Raw genomic sequence first — 16,607 nt, forward strand, 5'->3', positions numbered from 1 at the left:
CAGAAGAAACTAAGTAGTTTATCTTTAGCTGATGCCACCAATTTAAAATTGACTTCAGAATATTTATTATATGATAAAGGCGACTATTTGTATGAATGTAACATTAAATCCCCTCATTGCTAAGATTAGGTTATATGTAAAGTATGTAGAAAGTACAGACAATACCTTCTGTTAAAGGATTTTTATCATTTAAATATACCTTCAAATGTAAGAAACCTATTAGTATGGCTTGATTGCAACACTACAGCCTTCGTTTTATTAAACAGGAAAGCCAATGGAGTTTACCCAATTACTTTGTCAACACGGTTTAAGTTTGAAAGAGAAGATAAAACAACAAAAATTCTGGAGTACAGTGTTATAGCCCAGATTCCTTTAACTCCTGATTTTTCTATTGCCAAAATCCAAAGTTTAGAAATGTAAGTGAACAAGCTCTGAAGACTCATTATTTACTATTTGAGAAGTATCTAAAATGTAGTGAAAGCTGAACAGAATTTCCTTGGAGCTCTTACTAGCAACATATTAGTAATAGCAATGATTGATTTTCATGCCGTTCACTCTTTCTTCACATCTCCTCTGCCTTCTCGCACCCCAAATCCAATAAGTGTCTCTACATTCTACCCTGGTCTCTTTTTTTATTTTATTATTATTATTATTTTTTGAGACGGAGTCTCGCTCTGTCGCCTAGGCTGGAGTGCAGTGGCGCGATCTAGGCTCACTGCAAGCTCCGCCTCCGGGGTTCCCACCGTTCTCCTGTCTCAGCCTCCAGAGTAGCTGGGACTACAGGCGCCCGCCACCACGCCTGGCTAAATTTTTTCTTTTTTTTTTTTTGTATTTTTAGTAGAGAGGGGGTTTCACCATTTCAGCCAGGATGGTCTCAATCTCCTGACCTCGTGATCTGCCCACCTCGGCCTCCCAAAGTGCTAGGATTACAGGCATGAGCCACCCCGCCCGGCCTTACCCTGGTCTCTTTAAATCTTCCCAATTCAATGACCTCTTAGAAATATGCTCCCTGACAATAATGTATGCTCCAAAATAAACTCCCTCTGATTCTTTTTATCTTTCCAATAATCTATACTCTTTGAATCTGAGCCAGCATGTAGCTAGAAATTTGGAATAAAATATCTATATTGGTAAACAGTGGTTTCTTTTTAAGTGGAAAAACCAGTGTTTTCTTTTTAAGCAAAAGGATAATTTATTGGCTGCTTTAATTAGGAAATCAAAGTAATTGTATAACCTTTAGTCACAACTAGATCCAGAATTGTGAAGAATGTCATTAAGAATCTCTCACTCCTCTGTTTTTCACTCAAATCATTTATTTTTAGCCACGTTCCATCCATGAACAATCAAAATAGCTCTGGAATGCTGTAGCTTTACGTGATACTTAGTATTTGCAATCTCAGAGGAATGGAGATCCTTTCTCCCCTGGTATACATATAATTTCCCCCAAAAATGCCTTGATTGGCTCTGCCTGGATTATATGGCAAAACTGGACAATCACCAAAGCCAGTGAGATGGGATCAGTGATTAGTTAGCAGAGATCAATTTCCATTTCTGTGGCAAGCAACTAGGTGTTGTGATTGAGAAACTACCATTTAGGAAAGGGGAAGCTCACAAAAGGAAAAGAAGGGCCATTTTCCGATGCCACCTCTGTGGACTGAATGACCTGTTCACTATATTAGAGATGTTTTCATTCCTTGAGAAAATTTGATACTACAATTATTTTCCATTGAGTGAGATTGCTGGTAATGTCACTGGGATATTGAAAAAATCATTTTACCAAAGGACCCTTCCAGAATCCCCTTAAGGATGGCTCATCTTCTTTTGCTTTTTATTTTATTTCCATGATGATTTAATTCCAAGGTTTGCTGCTCTCTGAAAATATAAGTGAATTTATCGCTTTTCAAAGAACACTTGAGAAACGAATCAAGAGTCAAAGAACCAAAATACACACATACTTCTCATCTGCATTGTAGTCATAGGGACAAATTTTCTGAGAAGTTGGTTTCCAGTTCATTTCTAAAGCATTGCTATAAAAAAATCATTCTCAGTAAATACATCATATCATTATTGTTGAAGTAAATCAAGGAAAAAGGAAAAGAAATATGGAGGGTACATATTATTTTTCCAAAATACAGTTCTTCAACTTCCATCTCATACCCCTGGTGAAAGATTATCTTTACTTATTATGTTATAAATTAGGCAGAATCTTGGAATTACCTCACACAAAACTACTCTGACAGCCTCTTTGAACCTGACATAGTTTAGACTATATTTATTCATTTGGAGCCTACCTCTTCTCTAAAGATAATGAATTCCTGACAAAGAGTCAGAGCTTTTAGATATTTGACATCAGGTAAAATCTTGCCCATTTTTTTCTAAATAACTATAAAATCTGGCATGAAATATTTAGGATCTTAGATTGTAATTTTTAAATAAATACTACCCATCAATAAATTTGTATGTTAAGCACATATGTTGAGCTTGGATTCAAGGATGCTGCGGGCTAAAGTATTAATAGTTTAAAGCTGGAGCATCATCAAATGATGCTGAGAATGATGTTCCACCATTACATAGCATTGGAATGCAGTATTAAGAATTTACTATGAGACAACATAGCTAAAACATTTCAACAGAACAGATGATCATATTTGTAACTTCAATTAATATCAAATGCCAAAACTTCTCAGTGCTTTGCAAATTCTGTGTACTGTTAAATTGTCCAATTATTATTTCAAAGCTGTGGTGACACTTCTCAGTCCATCCAGGCACACATCTCTCTCTATCTCTGTCTCCCTTTCCCTTCCTCTCTCACTTCAAACATACACACAGATGCATATATATGAAGTCTCTCTCTCACACACACACACAACTTGCAAATACAAAAATATATTCTTCCCATTATGGATTTTCATTGTACTTGGTGGAAAATCTCTTCAGACCATGTGAGACTTAAGACAGACTTTGATCTGGATGTTGATATCACATTGGTTCATAGACATCGGTTCAAAACTCTGTATGAAGCTTTCCACAATTATGTTGTAACCTTGGTATTCCATTCTCTGCATTGCCGTCCAAGTACTGAGGTAAAAGAATGCCATGGCAGTGTTCAGCCCTGGAATTTCCATTAAAAAATGTGACCATGTGCATGGTGTAGATGAAAGCAAGATGCCCTGAAAGCTTTTGTTAAGCAAGTTGAAATAAGGCAGGTTATAACTTTCAGAGTCACTGGGACATAGCCTTAAACAACGAAGCAAAAAAGTAGGTGGATGGAAACTACAGCAACTGCCGAGACAGCTCCACATAGCTTTAAGGGAACTTTTTATCTTTTTTGAACAAAGATGTCAGACTAGTCAGACTGTCTGGAAATCCCAAAAAGAAAAATTTCAGCATACTTTCCAGATGGTAGAGGAAAATATCAAATACAAACCCTATCATATGTTTCCCCATTTTGTTGTGGGGTGTCATGTTTTTACCTATACTCATGGATCTTAATACCAGTCATATTCACTTCTAAATTAAAGTGCAACAAGAAATAGTCAAAGGCAAATATGTGTATATATATATATGTAAATATATGTGTGTGTGTGTGTGTGTGTGTGTGCATGGATAGTGCATGTATATACACATATACATGATAATATCTAATACAGTAAAAAATATACAGGAATTGGATATTCTTTTGTGAATATTTTAGATGATAAAATGAAGCCCCATGAAGTATTAAATTTTGAAATAACTTAAAGAATGTAATTGGATTGTTTGTAACTCAAAAGATAAATGTTTAAGGGGATGGATACCCCATTCTTCATGATGTGCTTATTTCACATTGCATGCCTGTATCAAAACATCTCAGGTACCCCTTAAATAGATACACCTACTGTGTATCTACAACATTTTTTAAAAATTAATTTTCTTAAAAAAGGAATTTTCAAATGTTTATCTTTCTATAACCAAACTGTTAGTCACATTATCACATTTGAAATAATTTTTAATAGAGTTTAAAATATTGTTAATGATAGATTGATTATAAAACCTATTTAGATCTCTGGATATAATTTTCAATGTGCTTTTACATTTTCTACTGCTACTTATAATTATTTATCTTGCTGTAACATCAAAATTTTCATTACTGTCACTCTGTCTGCTCCCGGCCAAACTCCCTACACCTCCTTTCATTGGCCTTCCTGTTACTAGTTTGGATGATTAACAAAGTTGTCAAGCTTGTTAAAAGTGTCTTTTCCAAATTAAAATAATAAAACAAAACATCAAATTAGAAAATATCAGGATAGCTATCCCTAAGGCCATTTCACACAACTTTCCTACACACTGCCTAAGAAAGCCAGAAAAATGATAAAACCCAAACTGAAAACTAGGAAAGTCAATTCAGAAGAGATTCTATATACAACAAAGCAGATTGGATTAAATCAAAAAGTACAATTGATGGTCTAAGTGTGGAGAACCTGCCCACTGAAAGAAAAATGGAAAGACCTGGTAACTTCCTTTTCATCTCTGTCCACTGGGTCAGCTGCGCAAGATACATACCAACAAGAAAACCAGTTACCCCACTACTTAACAGATGGTGCATTCAATTGATCCAAAGCACCCTCTTTCTTAATCTAAATCTAATCCTACCTTCCACCCCAACACCTCAACACACACACACTCATACTTCTTTCATTCTTTTGGAAAATAAAGCCTAAAGAAAGAAAGTAAACAGGAAGAGAATACAATGTGTTTAAAAAAAAGATTGGAGTGATTTTATGACATTTTAGAAAATGTAACCCTCCAAGCTAAGATTTGTAGATGGTATGAAAATTCTCAATAAATTTTTAAGAAGTGGATGTAATTTTTATATATCCCATTGCTTTGCAATCTAATATTTATTCTAAAGATAAGATTTTATTCAGAATTGGGCTAGGAGTTGTGCATACTAATATCAGATAGTACAATGACTTAGTTGATTTAGTTGTGCTAGAAAAATCTATATGATATCAGTGAATTAAGGATGGGGCAGTCAACATGGCGTGTTTATAAGAAACACCAGACCTGCAGACATCTCTACTATTTCAAATAAGAATTAAAAAAAAAAGAAAGAAAACTAAAGGGTCTTAGAAAACATTGCAGAACAGGGAAAAGGAAAGCTCATTCTGTAGGCTAAATACTTGTGCAAGTCACCAAGCAGCCAGAATAATTGTTCAAAAAGTATGGCATTTGCAGAAAAACTCAAAAAGACTGAGAAGAATTTCATGTAAAACAAGTGCAAAAGCCTTTAAAAGATTCATATTTTAAAAGGTCCAAAGTTTTTAAAAGTGAGATAGATTGGCTAGAGGCATTACACTTTCTGATTTAAAAACATATTACAAACCTACAGTAATGAAACCAGTATGGTACTGATATAAAATAGATATATGGACTAATGGAACAGAATAAAGTCTAGAAATAAACCTATGCATGTGTGATCAACTGATTGCTCACAAGGGTGGCAAGAATACACAATGGGGAAAAGATAGCCTCTTCTATAAGAAGCTTTCAGAAAGCTGTGTATACACATCAAAGAACAGAAGTGAATCCTTATTTCACACCACACACAGGAACCAAGTTAACATGTATTAAAGATTTAAACATAAAATTTGAAATAGTAAAAATCCTAGAAGAGAACATGTGGGAGTGTAGCTTTATGAGATGGTCTTGGAAATTACTTCTTGGATAGACATCAAAAGCACAGACAACAAAATAAAAAATAGACAAATGAGACTATATCAAAATAAATACCTTCTGCACAGCAAAGAAAACAATCAACAGAGTGAAAATGCAACTTCCAGAATGGGAGATAATATTTGGAAACCATATATCTAGTAAGGGATTAATATCCAAAAGATATCATGAACTCCCACAACTCGAAAGCAAAAGAAAATGAAATCACCCTATTAAAAATGGGAAAGACACTTAAATATATACTTCTGCAATGAAAACATACAAATGGTCAAGAAAATGAAGAGATGTTCACAGCACTAACAACAAAGTCCCCACAAAAACCCCATCCAAGTATCAGCAGCCTCAAAGATCTAAACTAGACAACTCATAAAGATGAGAAAGAATCAACAAAAAAATGCTGAAAACCCCAAGGGCCAGAGTGCCTCTTCTCAAAACGAATGCAATGCCCCTCCAGCAAGGGTGCAGATCTGGATGAGGATGAAATGGACGAATTGACAGAAGTAAGCTTCCAAAGATGGTTAATAACAAACTGTCTGAGCTAAAGGAGCATGTTCTGATCCAATGCAAATAAGCTAAGAACCTTGATAAAATGTTAGAGGAGCGCATAACTAGAATAGCCAGTTTAGAGAGAAACATAAATGACCTGAAGGAGCTGGAAAACACAGCATGAGAACTTTGTGAAGCATACACAAGTAGCAATAGTGGAATCAACCAAGAGGAAGAAAGGATATCAGAGTTTAAAGACCACCTAGCTGAAATAAGGCATGCAGACAAGATTAGAGAAAAAAATAATGAAAAGCAACAAACAAAGCCTCTGAGAAATATGGGACTGCATAAAAAGATCAAACCTACGATTGATGAGAGTACCCGAAGGAGAAGAGGAGAATGGAGAAAAGCTGGAAAACACACTTCAGGATATTATCCACAAGTTCCCCAACCTAGCAAGGCAGGCCAACATTAAAATTCAGGAAATACAGAGAACATCACTAAGATTTTCCATGAGAAGATCAACCCCAAGATACATAATCATCAGATTCTCCAAGGTTGAAATGAAGGAAAATATGTTAAGGGCAGCCAGAGAGAAAGGCCAGGTCACCTACAAAGGGAAGCCCATCAGAATAATAACGGACCTCTCAGCAGAAACCCTACAAGTCAGACGAGAGTGGGTGCCAATATTTAACATTCTTATAGAAAAGAATTTTTCATATCCAGCAAAACTAAGCTTCATAAGGGAAGGAAAAATAAAATCCTTCCCAGACAAGCAAAGGCTGAGGGATTTTATCTCCACCTGGCCTGCCTTAAAAGAGCTCTTGAAGGAAGCACTAAATATGGAAAAAAAAAACCAGTACCAGCCACTGTAAAAACACACCACAATATAAAGACCAATGACACTATGTAGAAACTGCACATCACGCCATTCAGAGTGGTGATTATTAAAAAGTCAAGAAATAATAGATGCTTGCGAGGCTGTGAAGAAATAGGAACCCTGTTACACTGTTGGTGGGAATGTAAATTACTTCAACCATTGTGGAAGACAGTGTGGCGATTCCTCAGGGACCTAGAACCAGAAATACCGTTTGACCCAGAAATCCCATTATTGGGTATATGCCCAAAGGAATATAAATCATTCTACTATAAAGACATATGCACTCGTATGTTTATTGCAGCACTATTTACAATAGCAAAGACATGGAACCAACCCAAATGCCTATAAATGATAGACTGGATAAAGAAAATGTGGCACATATACACCACGGAATACTATGCAGCCATAAAAAGGAATGAGATTATGTCCTTTGTAGCGACATGGATGAAGCTGAAAGCTCTTATCTTCAGCAAAGTAACCTAGGAAGAGAAAACCAAACACCACAAGTTCTCGCTCATAAATGGGAGTTGAACAATGAGAACACATGGACACAGGTAGGGGAACAACACACACCATCACCTGTTGTGGGGTGGGGGACAAGGGGAGAGAGCCTAGAGGAAGGGTTAATAGGTGCAGCAAACCACCATGACACACGTATTCCTATGTAACAAATCTGCACATTCTGCACACATATTCCGGAACTTAAAGTAAAATTTTAAACAATTTAAAACAAAAATAAAATGTTTAACATTACTAATCACCAGGGAAATGCAAATTGAAACCACAATGAGATATTACCTTTCACCTATTAGGATGGACACCATCAAAACACACATACCCACATAAATACAGACACAAATAACAAGTGTTGATGATGATGTGGAGAAAAGGAAATTCTTGTACACTGTTAGTGAGAATCTGAAATGATGCAGCCACCATAGAAAAGAGTATGGAGGTTCCTTAAAAATTTAAACATAGAATTACCATATGATCCAACAATTCCACTTCTTGGTATATATCTGAAATAATTGAACTTAGGAACCTGAAGACATAGCAGCACTCTCATGTCCATGGCAGCAGGTATTCATAATAGCCAAGATGTCAAACAACCCAAATGTCCAAAGACATATGAGTAGTTTTTTTAAAAGTGGTAAGTACATTCAATGGAATATTATTCAGCCCTAAAAAAGAGAAGAAAATCCTACCATTGGTGACAACACGAATGAACCTGGAAGACACAATGCTAAGTGCAATGTCAGCCACAGAAGAACACATACTGCTTGTTTCCTCTTATATGTGACATTGAAAATATTGCTATATAGAAGTAGACAACAGAATGGTGATTACCAGGGCATGAGAGAGGTGGCGATGAGGAATGGTTGTTCAAGAGGAATAAAGTTACCATTCTACAAGATGAATGAGTCTCAAAGATCTGCTGTTACAACATAGCGCCCACAGTTAACAGTAAGGTATAGCTCACTTAAAATTTTGTTAAGACTGTAGATCTCATGTTAAGTGTTTTTACTGCAAAAAAGAGAATGCAAGGAAACTTTTGAAGGTGATAGATATGTGTATTACTTTGTGGTGATAGTTACTTGTGTTACAGGTATGTCCATTGTATACCTTAATGAGGTACAATTTTTGGTATATTGATTATACCACCTTTTTTAGGCTGAAGAAAATAATTTTTAAAATAAGATGAGTTAGTGAAGAAAAATCATAGTAGCAATAATAAAATATATATTAGAGGTGATAAAAATTAAAATTGACAAAGAATAAAAATAAAATCCTAATTTAGAGAACCAGCTAGATAAATTTCCTAATAACGCAGAGGAAAATTGGTGTAAAGAAAGGAAAACATTACATAAGAATATATAATTTTGAAAGACATGCAATAAGAATACAACCAGACAATAGTAGAGGTTACTGTGAAAGAAACCACAATGTCTAAAACAGAAGGAATAATGAAAGATTTATGAAAGAAAAAGTTCCTACCCTAAATAAATGACCAACCTATAGATCAAAAACGCTCAATAATCTTTGAGCATAAAAATTATAGAGACTTATATCTTAGCATACCCAAAAGAAAAAATGAAGTTAGAATGATAAAGAAAATATACTAAAGTCACCCAAACATTTTTAAATTTAATAAAAATCAGGTAACACTTCTTTCAAATGGTAAAACAAACAAAAAAACCCCACAACTTGGATATCCTACCAAGTGGTTGTTATGTGTACAGCCCACAAGAAAAAGAAGATATTTACAAATACGCAAGAGCTCAAAAGAGATTACGCTAACGTATGTTGCTTACAAAAATTAATAGAAAACCATTTTAACAGCTAAAAATTGATCAAACATAATTTTTAAAAGATAGTTCATCATGTAATAAGACTTACAGTAAATGTTAAATTAGTTCAATGACATGTGTAAATATGTAGGAAATCATGAAACTTTATCTAAAAATAACATATATCATATAAATAATAATAATATAGGTGAAAGTCTCTAGATTAATGATCACAATTTCAAGTGATCACAGGGCCTGAGAAATAAGGCAGATATATAAAGAGGGCCAGGCTTAATGAATAGGGAGTGGTGGGGAGGACTCTGTACTAGAGAGCAAATTCAGTTACGCACAGCGTAACAACCTTTAGGTCAATGATGGACCACGTGTGACAGTGGACCCGTAAGATATGGACATGTAAGATTCCATATTTTTACTGTATCTTTGCTTTTTTTTTTTTTTTTGAGACGGAATCTCACTCTGTCGCCAGCCTGGAGTGCTGTGGCGCAATCTGGGCTCACTGCAATCTCCGCCTCCCAGGTTCACGCCATTCTCCTACCTCAGCCTCCTGAGTAGCTGGGACTACAGGTGCCCGCCACCACGCCTGGCTAATTTTTTGTATTTTTAGTAGAGACGGGGTTTCACCGTGTTAGCCAGGATGCTCTGGATCTCCCGACCTCGTGATCCGCCCGCCTCGGCCTCCCAAAATGCTAGGATTACAGGTGTGAGCCACCAGGCCCGGCCTGCTGTGTTTAAATATACAAATACTTACTGTCGTGTTACAATTGCCTATGGTATTCAGTATAGTAACAGACTGTACAGGTTTTTAGACTAGGAGGAATAGGCTATACCATACAACCTGAGTGTGTGTAGGCTATTCCATGTTGGTTTGCATAAGTACACTCTGTGATGTTTGCACAACAGTGGAATTGCCTAACCACACTTTCCGCAGGATGTATACCCACAGTTTAGTGACGCATGACTGAATATACTATTCAAGGAGGGCGGAAGCTACTGGACTCCAACACTTCATTACCTTGCAATGTGGGCCAGATCAACAAATTTCAAGAAAAGCCAGAAATCTACATATTCGTTTACAACATTGCAATTTTTAAATATACAGAGATAATTCAACTAGTAACAAAAGCACTGGAGGGTGCCAAGCAAAACATTTGTTTGAGATTTGAGCCATTACTAATCAGGTTTTAACCTCGCCACTCAAAGAAAAAAAAATTAAAATGCGTTAGCATTACAAAAAACTAAAAAATTGTAAGTAGGAGGTTTTGGGGATAGAAATGCTTTCTTTCTAGGTATAAATGGGTTCTAAAAGATTGGATTGGAAAATTAGAAATACATAGGTTATAAGAGTTTGGGGAAAATATAATAGCAAAATTTTGAACTTTTAAATTATTGGATAAGATGAAGTAAAGCATTGCTAGATAGCAATGTCCTGCTTTGCAGATGTCTGCTGGTTGCATAATTCAAAAGGACACTAAAGTGTTAAAAATAAAATGATGGACCAGGCGCGGTAGCTCACGCCTGTAACCTCAGCACTTTGGGAGGCCGAGGCGGGTGGATCACTGGGTCAGGAGTTGCAGACCAGCCTGGCCAAAAAAGTGAAACCCCGTCTCTAGTAAAAATACAAAAATTAGCCAGGCAAGGTGGCGAGTGTCTGTAGTCCCACCTACTCGGGAGGCTGAGGCGGGAGAGTCACTTGAACCTTCGAGGCGGAGGTTGTGGTGAGCCAACATGGCACCACTGCACTCCAGCCTGGGCAGCAGAGTGAGACTCTGTCTCAAATAATTAACTAATTAATTAATTAAATGGTGGTAAATTATTTATTACATAAATACTACTGAAAAGAAAGCAGGAGAGGACAAAATTATTATAAAACTAAGAGCTACAGTATAAAATGCAGTAAATTGATTAAAGCAGGTTAATTTCTTTTAAAACATGATTTAGTGAGCTTTAAACGCAGAATATTATAATGTTGAAAAATGCAAAGTAATATTAACAATAAAATAATACATTTATAAAGATGCACATTTTGTAAGTAATTTCAACTTTTCAAAATGTCTTTATAAATACAAGTACCTGAATAAATATTGGTCCATAAAGAACATCTCAAAAAATTACATAAAGCATAAATTATATAGCCCATATTTCTAACCATTAACTGCTTTTGTTTCTCTTCAATTCAGTCCTGTGGAAGAATTGAATCAGAAGCAAACAAAACTCCAAATGTACATTATTTAGAAAGTAACAATGAAAACATGCTTATTTCAACGTATAGGAGATGATCAAAGTTGTAGTCAGCGGCAAATGAATCCCCTGAAATGCTTTCTTCATCTTAAAAAAAAAAAAGATAAAAATAAATGAAATAAATATTAAGAAAAAGGCTAAAGTAGACAAAAGAAAATAAGGTGAAGAAAGATAAAATGAATTTGAGGATATTAGAATATATTACAAGCCTTGGGGCCAAACAACTCAAAAAAACTATGGGAAGCATACGCAAAATTTTAAATGAGATCATTAACGATAGATTAATGTTAAAAAGTTAGGTGCAATTCTATGCTAATTTCTTTAAAATTCTTAATAAAATGTATGTTTTCCTAAGAAAAGATAAATTATCAGATGTTTGAGTTGTCTGGGGGTTGAATCTCAGGGTAAACAATGTGAAATAAAATGATTTTGCCAGCAGAGCACAAGAGTGCATGTCCAGAATTTCACAGTCCTGCCCTGTCATTTTCTGCTGGGTGGCCTTGAGCAAATGAATTCAGTTCATTGACCATCCCTTCCCCACCATAAGAACTTTGCCAGTGGTGATTACTGGAGTCTCTTTTAATCAAAATTGCTTGGTTCTCCTACAGACATGTACAGGCATGCACGTGAGTAAAAGAGAGAAAAAAACCCATATATATATATGTATAACAGTAAGCAAAACTTTAAATAATACTCATTATATTTTAGATCTATTCAGTTTGCTTGTTCCCTCATTTTTACCCTCAATTAATATCATCCCTATTAGTTCAAATACCATAGCTTAAAGAAAAAATAAACACTGAAGAAGGTAGTTCAATATTGTATTCATTCACTGACTTGTCCTGGAATTCTTTCTTTTCTTCCTGTTTCTTAGACATACGTTACTTTTTCAAGTAATGAGAAATCATCTGTAGTCTTTTTTTCTTCAAACTCCAGGGGTTGGGGGTTCCAGCGTCTAAGTATCCCTGAAACTCACACCTTGATTTTGTGGCTATTGTTTGTATTGTTTTATGGAAAACAGCCAAAGTGAGCGTCTGCATTTATGTTCTTCCAAAACCTCCATATCTCACCCTTTCTGTGAAATTTCTCTTTGGAATTTCATATCATTTGGCATCTCACTTTTTTAGTGAGGGTGGCGCTCTAAATCTTTTGTGATGGCTCCAGGCTTCAGATATATATTATTCCACTCTTGCTGCCAATGTAACAAGTCAGTCAGATTTTGCAATAACATATGGTTATGATTTGAGTGTAATAGGGCTTATAAGTAAATATGTTTATCAGAGTTAGTTCAAAATTATTATTTCAACTAATTTCAGGCTACCATAACAGCCATGAATTGAGTAAGAACAAAAAGTAAAAGTTCTTGTCAAGGAAGCCTGTGGGAGATGGGGAGGCTGGGAAGGGAAGAGAGAAGAGAAGGGTTAATCTAAGTATATCGAAAGTCTACATTTAACTACAGTTTTCTCTCTTCTTTTAACTTCTCTAATCTCTTAACAATTAACCATGTTATACAGTATGTAATTTATATACTCTCCTGACATATTCAGAATACCAGATTCAGATCTAGTGTTTTCTGTGTGATTGTTTTATTTTTTTTATCCTGTGGAATAGATAAGTGGTTTGGCTCTCCTATGTACCTATTGAAGTTTACTTTTCTTACATGACTTTTTTATTGCATTCTGAGGGAAGCTATAGCAGCATTGGGCACACAGATGTGAATAAAACAATTTCTCTTAGGGCATAAAGTACTAACCATGTCTAGCATTTAATGGTCACCTATGAGATATTATGGGAAGTGTATCTATGGGAAGTATACACAAAATTTAAAATGAGATTAGTAACAATAGATGTTTTGGAAGAACACAAATGCAGATGCTTACTTTGGCTATTTTTGATAAAAACAGTACAAAAAGAAGCCACAAAATAGAACTATGAGTTTCAGGGAGTCTTAGGTGTTGGAATCCCCAACCCCTGGAGGTTGAGAAAAAAACAGTACAGATGATTTCTTATTGCTTAAAAAGAAGCATATGTCTAAGAAACAGGAAGAAAAGAAAGAATGCCTCGACAAGACAGTGAATGAATAAAATATTCAATTAGGATTTTATGTAATAGGTACTTTAATAAACTAAACTTGAAGCTTTATGGCAGCAACTTACCTTCTACATCCATCCCAAGAACCTAGAACATCGCTGGGCTCAAGGTAGGCCCTCAATTATAGTATCGAATGAATAAATGAAGTCAACAGTTCATCTTCATCTTTACAACATAAGACAATAAGTGCTATAATTCTCATTTTTACAAATAAGGAAAATGAGGCTGACAGAGGGTAAGGTTACTTCCCCTCAGTCACATGGCTAGTAAGTAGCTAAGTTAGAGTATACACCTACACCTTGCCAATTTCCAAGCCCTTGCCATTTCTACTACCCTAAACCTGCCAGCCATGTACTAAAATTCTGAGTTTGCTTTAGTTTAGATTAGGCACTTTATAGGCATCTCATTTCATATTCAGAAGACACTCAAAACGTTCTAGAAAAATATCCGATGTGTTTGACCAGAAAGTTACACGGCTATGAGAAATCCCAGAGGGCAGTCAAAAGGAGTAATTACACAAATTTTGCATAGGTAAGATCATGGCTTCTGATTATTATTTAACATTCATGAGTAATGACAAATTTCCTGGACATTCTAAGGATTTTAGGCCATTTCCTATGACTTATCTAAAACTATACATCTTTCCTACTCAAAAAAGCAAATTTGAACATGAATGAAATTGACATTGTTATAGAAAAGTTTGAGTATTTTAACTATCAATAATTATAAGTGAAAAGGTCAATCACATTTAAAAATCTTTAAAAATTATTTTAAAAATCAACCAGAGATTTGTATGTTTCAGAGAATACACAGATTAGCCGGGCACAGTGGCTCACACCTCTAATCCTAGCATTTTGGGAGGCCGAGGTGTGTGGATTACTTGAGGTCCGGAGTTCAAGACCCACTTGGCCAACATGGAGCAACCCCGTCTCTACTGAAAATATGAAAATTAGCTGGGTGTGGTGGCACATGCCTGTAATCCCAGATACTCTGGAGGCTGAGGCAAGACAGAAGAATTGCTTGAACCTGGGAGGCGGAGGTTGCAGTAATTGCGAGACTCTGTCTCACACACACAAAAACACACACAAACACACACACATACATACATAGAAAGAAAAAGCCATAAGTGAAAGTTAAAATATAATTCATTTGATGGTACTATATTATGGCATAACAGACTACAGTAAATAAAGTCTACATAAATATACTCCCATTATTAAAACATATCCAAATGTTACATAATGAAATAATTAAGATGTAATATAATGCCACTTACAGCCTTTCTTAAAAATAACTGTCATACATTCCTTTCTTAGACAGGAACCAATTTTGTCTTAGTTGCTAGTCATGTTATTAAGAACTTTTAAAAATTTATGTTCATTTAATAAGAGAGTTATTAGTCATTTGTAAGAACTTAATGGTATATTCAAAAATATTCCTGTGAAAAATAGTTGTATTTGTTAAAAGAAGAACTTTAGGCAATTTAAATTTAACAAGAGTTTATTCGAGCAAAGAATGATTGACAAATAGGGCAGCACTCAGAACCAGAAGTGGTTCAAAGATCTCTGCCCAGCAGTGTGAGCAGCAATCCTTGACAGGTGGAACAGGGAAGCAAAGCAGAGAAATCACCTCATTGGCTACAGCCAAGCATTTGGTTTATTTGGGCATGGGATGATGAGGCATCTGTCTTATCTGGGCATGGTCTGATCAATTCGTTGTTGTGATTGGCTGTAGCTCAGCTGTTTATGATTGGCTGCAATCAGCTAGTTCTTATAAAAATATGCTCCTAGTTAGGTTTCAGTCTGTTTACATACTAAGTTAGATTGCAGTTTGTTAGAGACTCAAAGCACGGAGACAGTCTTAGGCCAATGACCTCTTGCTTATTTAATTTCACATGTTGTGATGTTATAAATGTATCAGTATCTTTTCATCAAAAAGGACAAAGCATTCTCTAATATATATCATTCCACAGTTTATGACACCAAATCATGGCCAATTAGCATATATGTCATATTTTTACGATTATGCATCAGCCAGTCTTTTAAACATGTCAGTGTAATAGACACATTGTCAATTAAATAAATTAGATTGGTAAAGTAAAAAGCTGAGTGCACATCAGAAATGAAAGTAATGTCTTCGAGTTACTCAAGATCAAGATCAAAAACCAGCTGATTCAGAATCTGACTTGGATTCTCTGTTTTACAGTGATTGTGATATATCAATTACTTGGTTTTTGATCTTGACACTGACCAAATTAATAAGTAATTAACACATCCGTGTTTCAATTTTCAATGTAAATATTAACAAAATCTAGAGCCAACAGCTGTTGATGGTGAATGGATATTGAAACTAGCAATGATTTTCTCTTTTTTACTTGCCCTTAATGCTACATTGCCCATCACATAAAATCAGCAAACATTGGCACTACACTCAGAGATTATTTTAGATCCCAAGCAAATCTAATTCTTTAATCTTGTGGCTTTACTACCTAGTCGAAATAACTGTGAAAATGAAAAAAAAAAAAAAGACCACTCCGCCAATTTACAGAATTTTATGTCATCCAAACAAGAAGACTTACATATATCCCCAGAAGAGGACTGTGACTCTAGTAGCAATTACAGGCCTGCATTTTTCTGAAGCTCTGTCTTTGGAAGAGTCACTCCTGGCCAAGACAAAACAGTTGGTGACAACATTCTGGCTCTGTGTGTGCTCACCAAGTAAAATTGCCAAAATTCTGTACTCTGAGAACTAGCAAACAAAGCCAGTGGTACAATTCAATTACCATGGAATGCCAATTTTCCATAGACAAATTTGTCAATTGTTGCTAGAATTGTTCATTATGATTTGGAAGTCCTTGACATCTAAGTAGAATTGACACATAGGTATTT

Source organism: Homo sapiens, chromosome 4, assembly GCF_000001405.40.
Source record: "Homo sapiens chromosome 4, GRCh38.p14 Primary Assembly".
Lineage (NCBI taxonomy): Eukaryota > Metazoa > Chordata > Mammalia > Primates > Hominidae > Homo > Homo sapiens.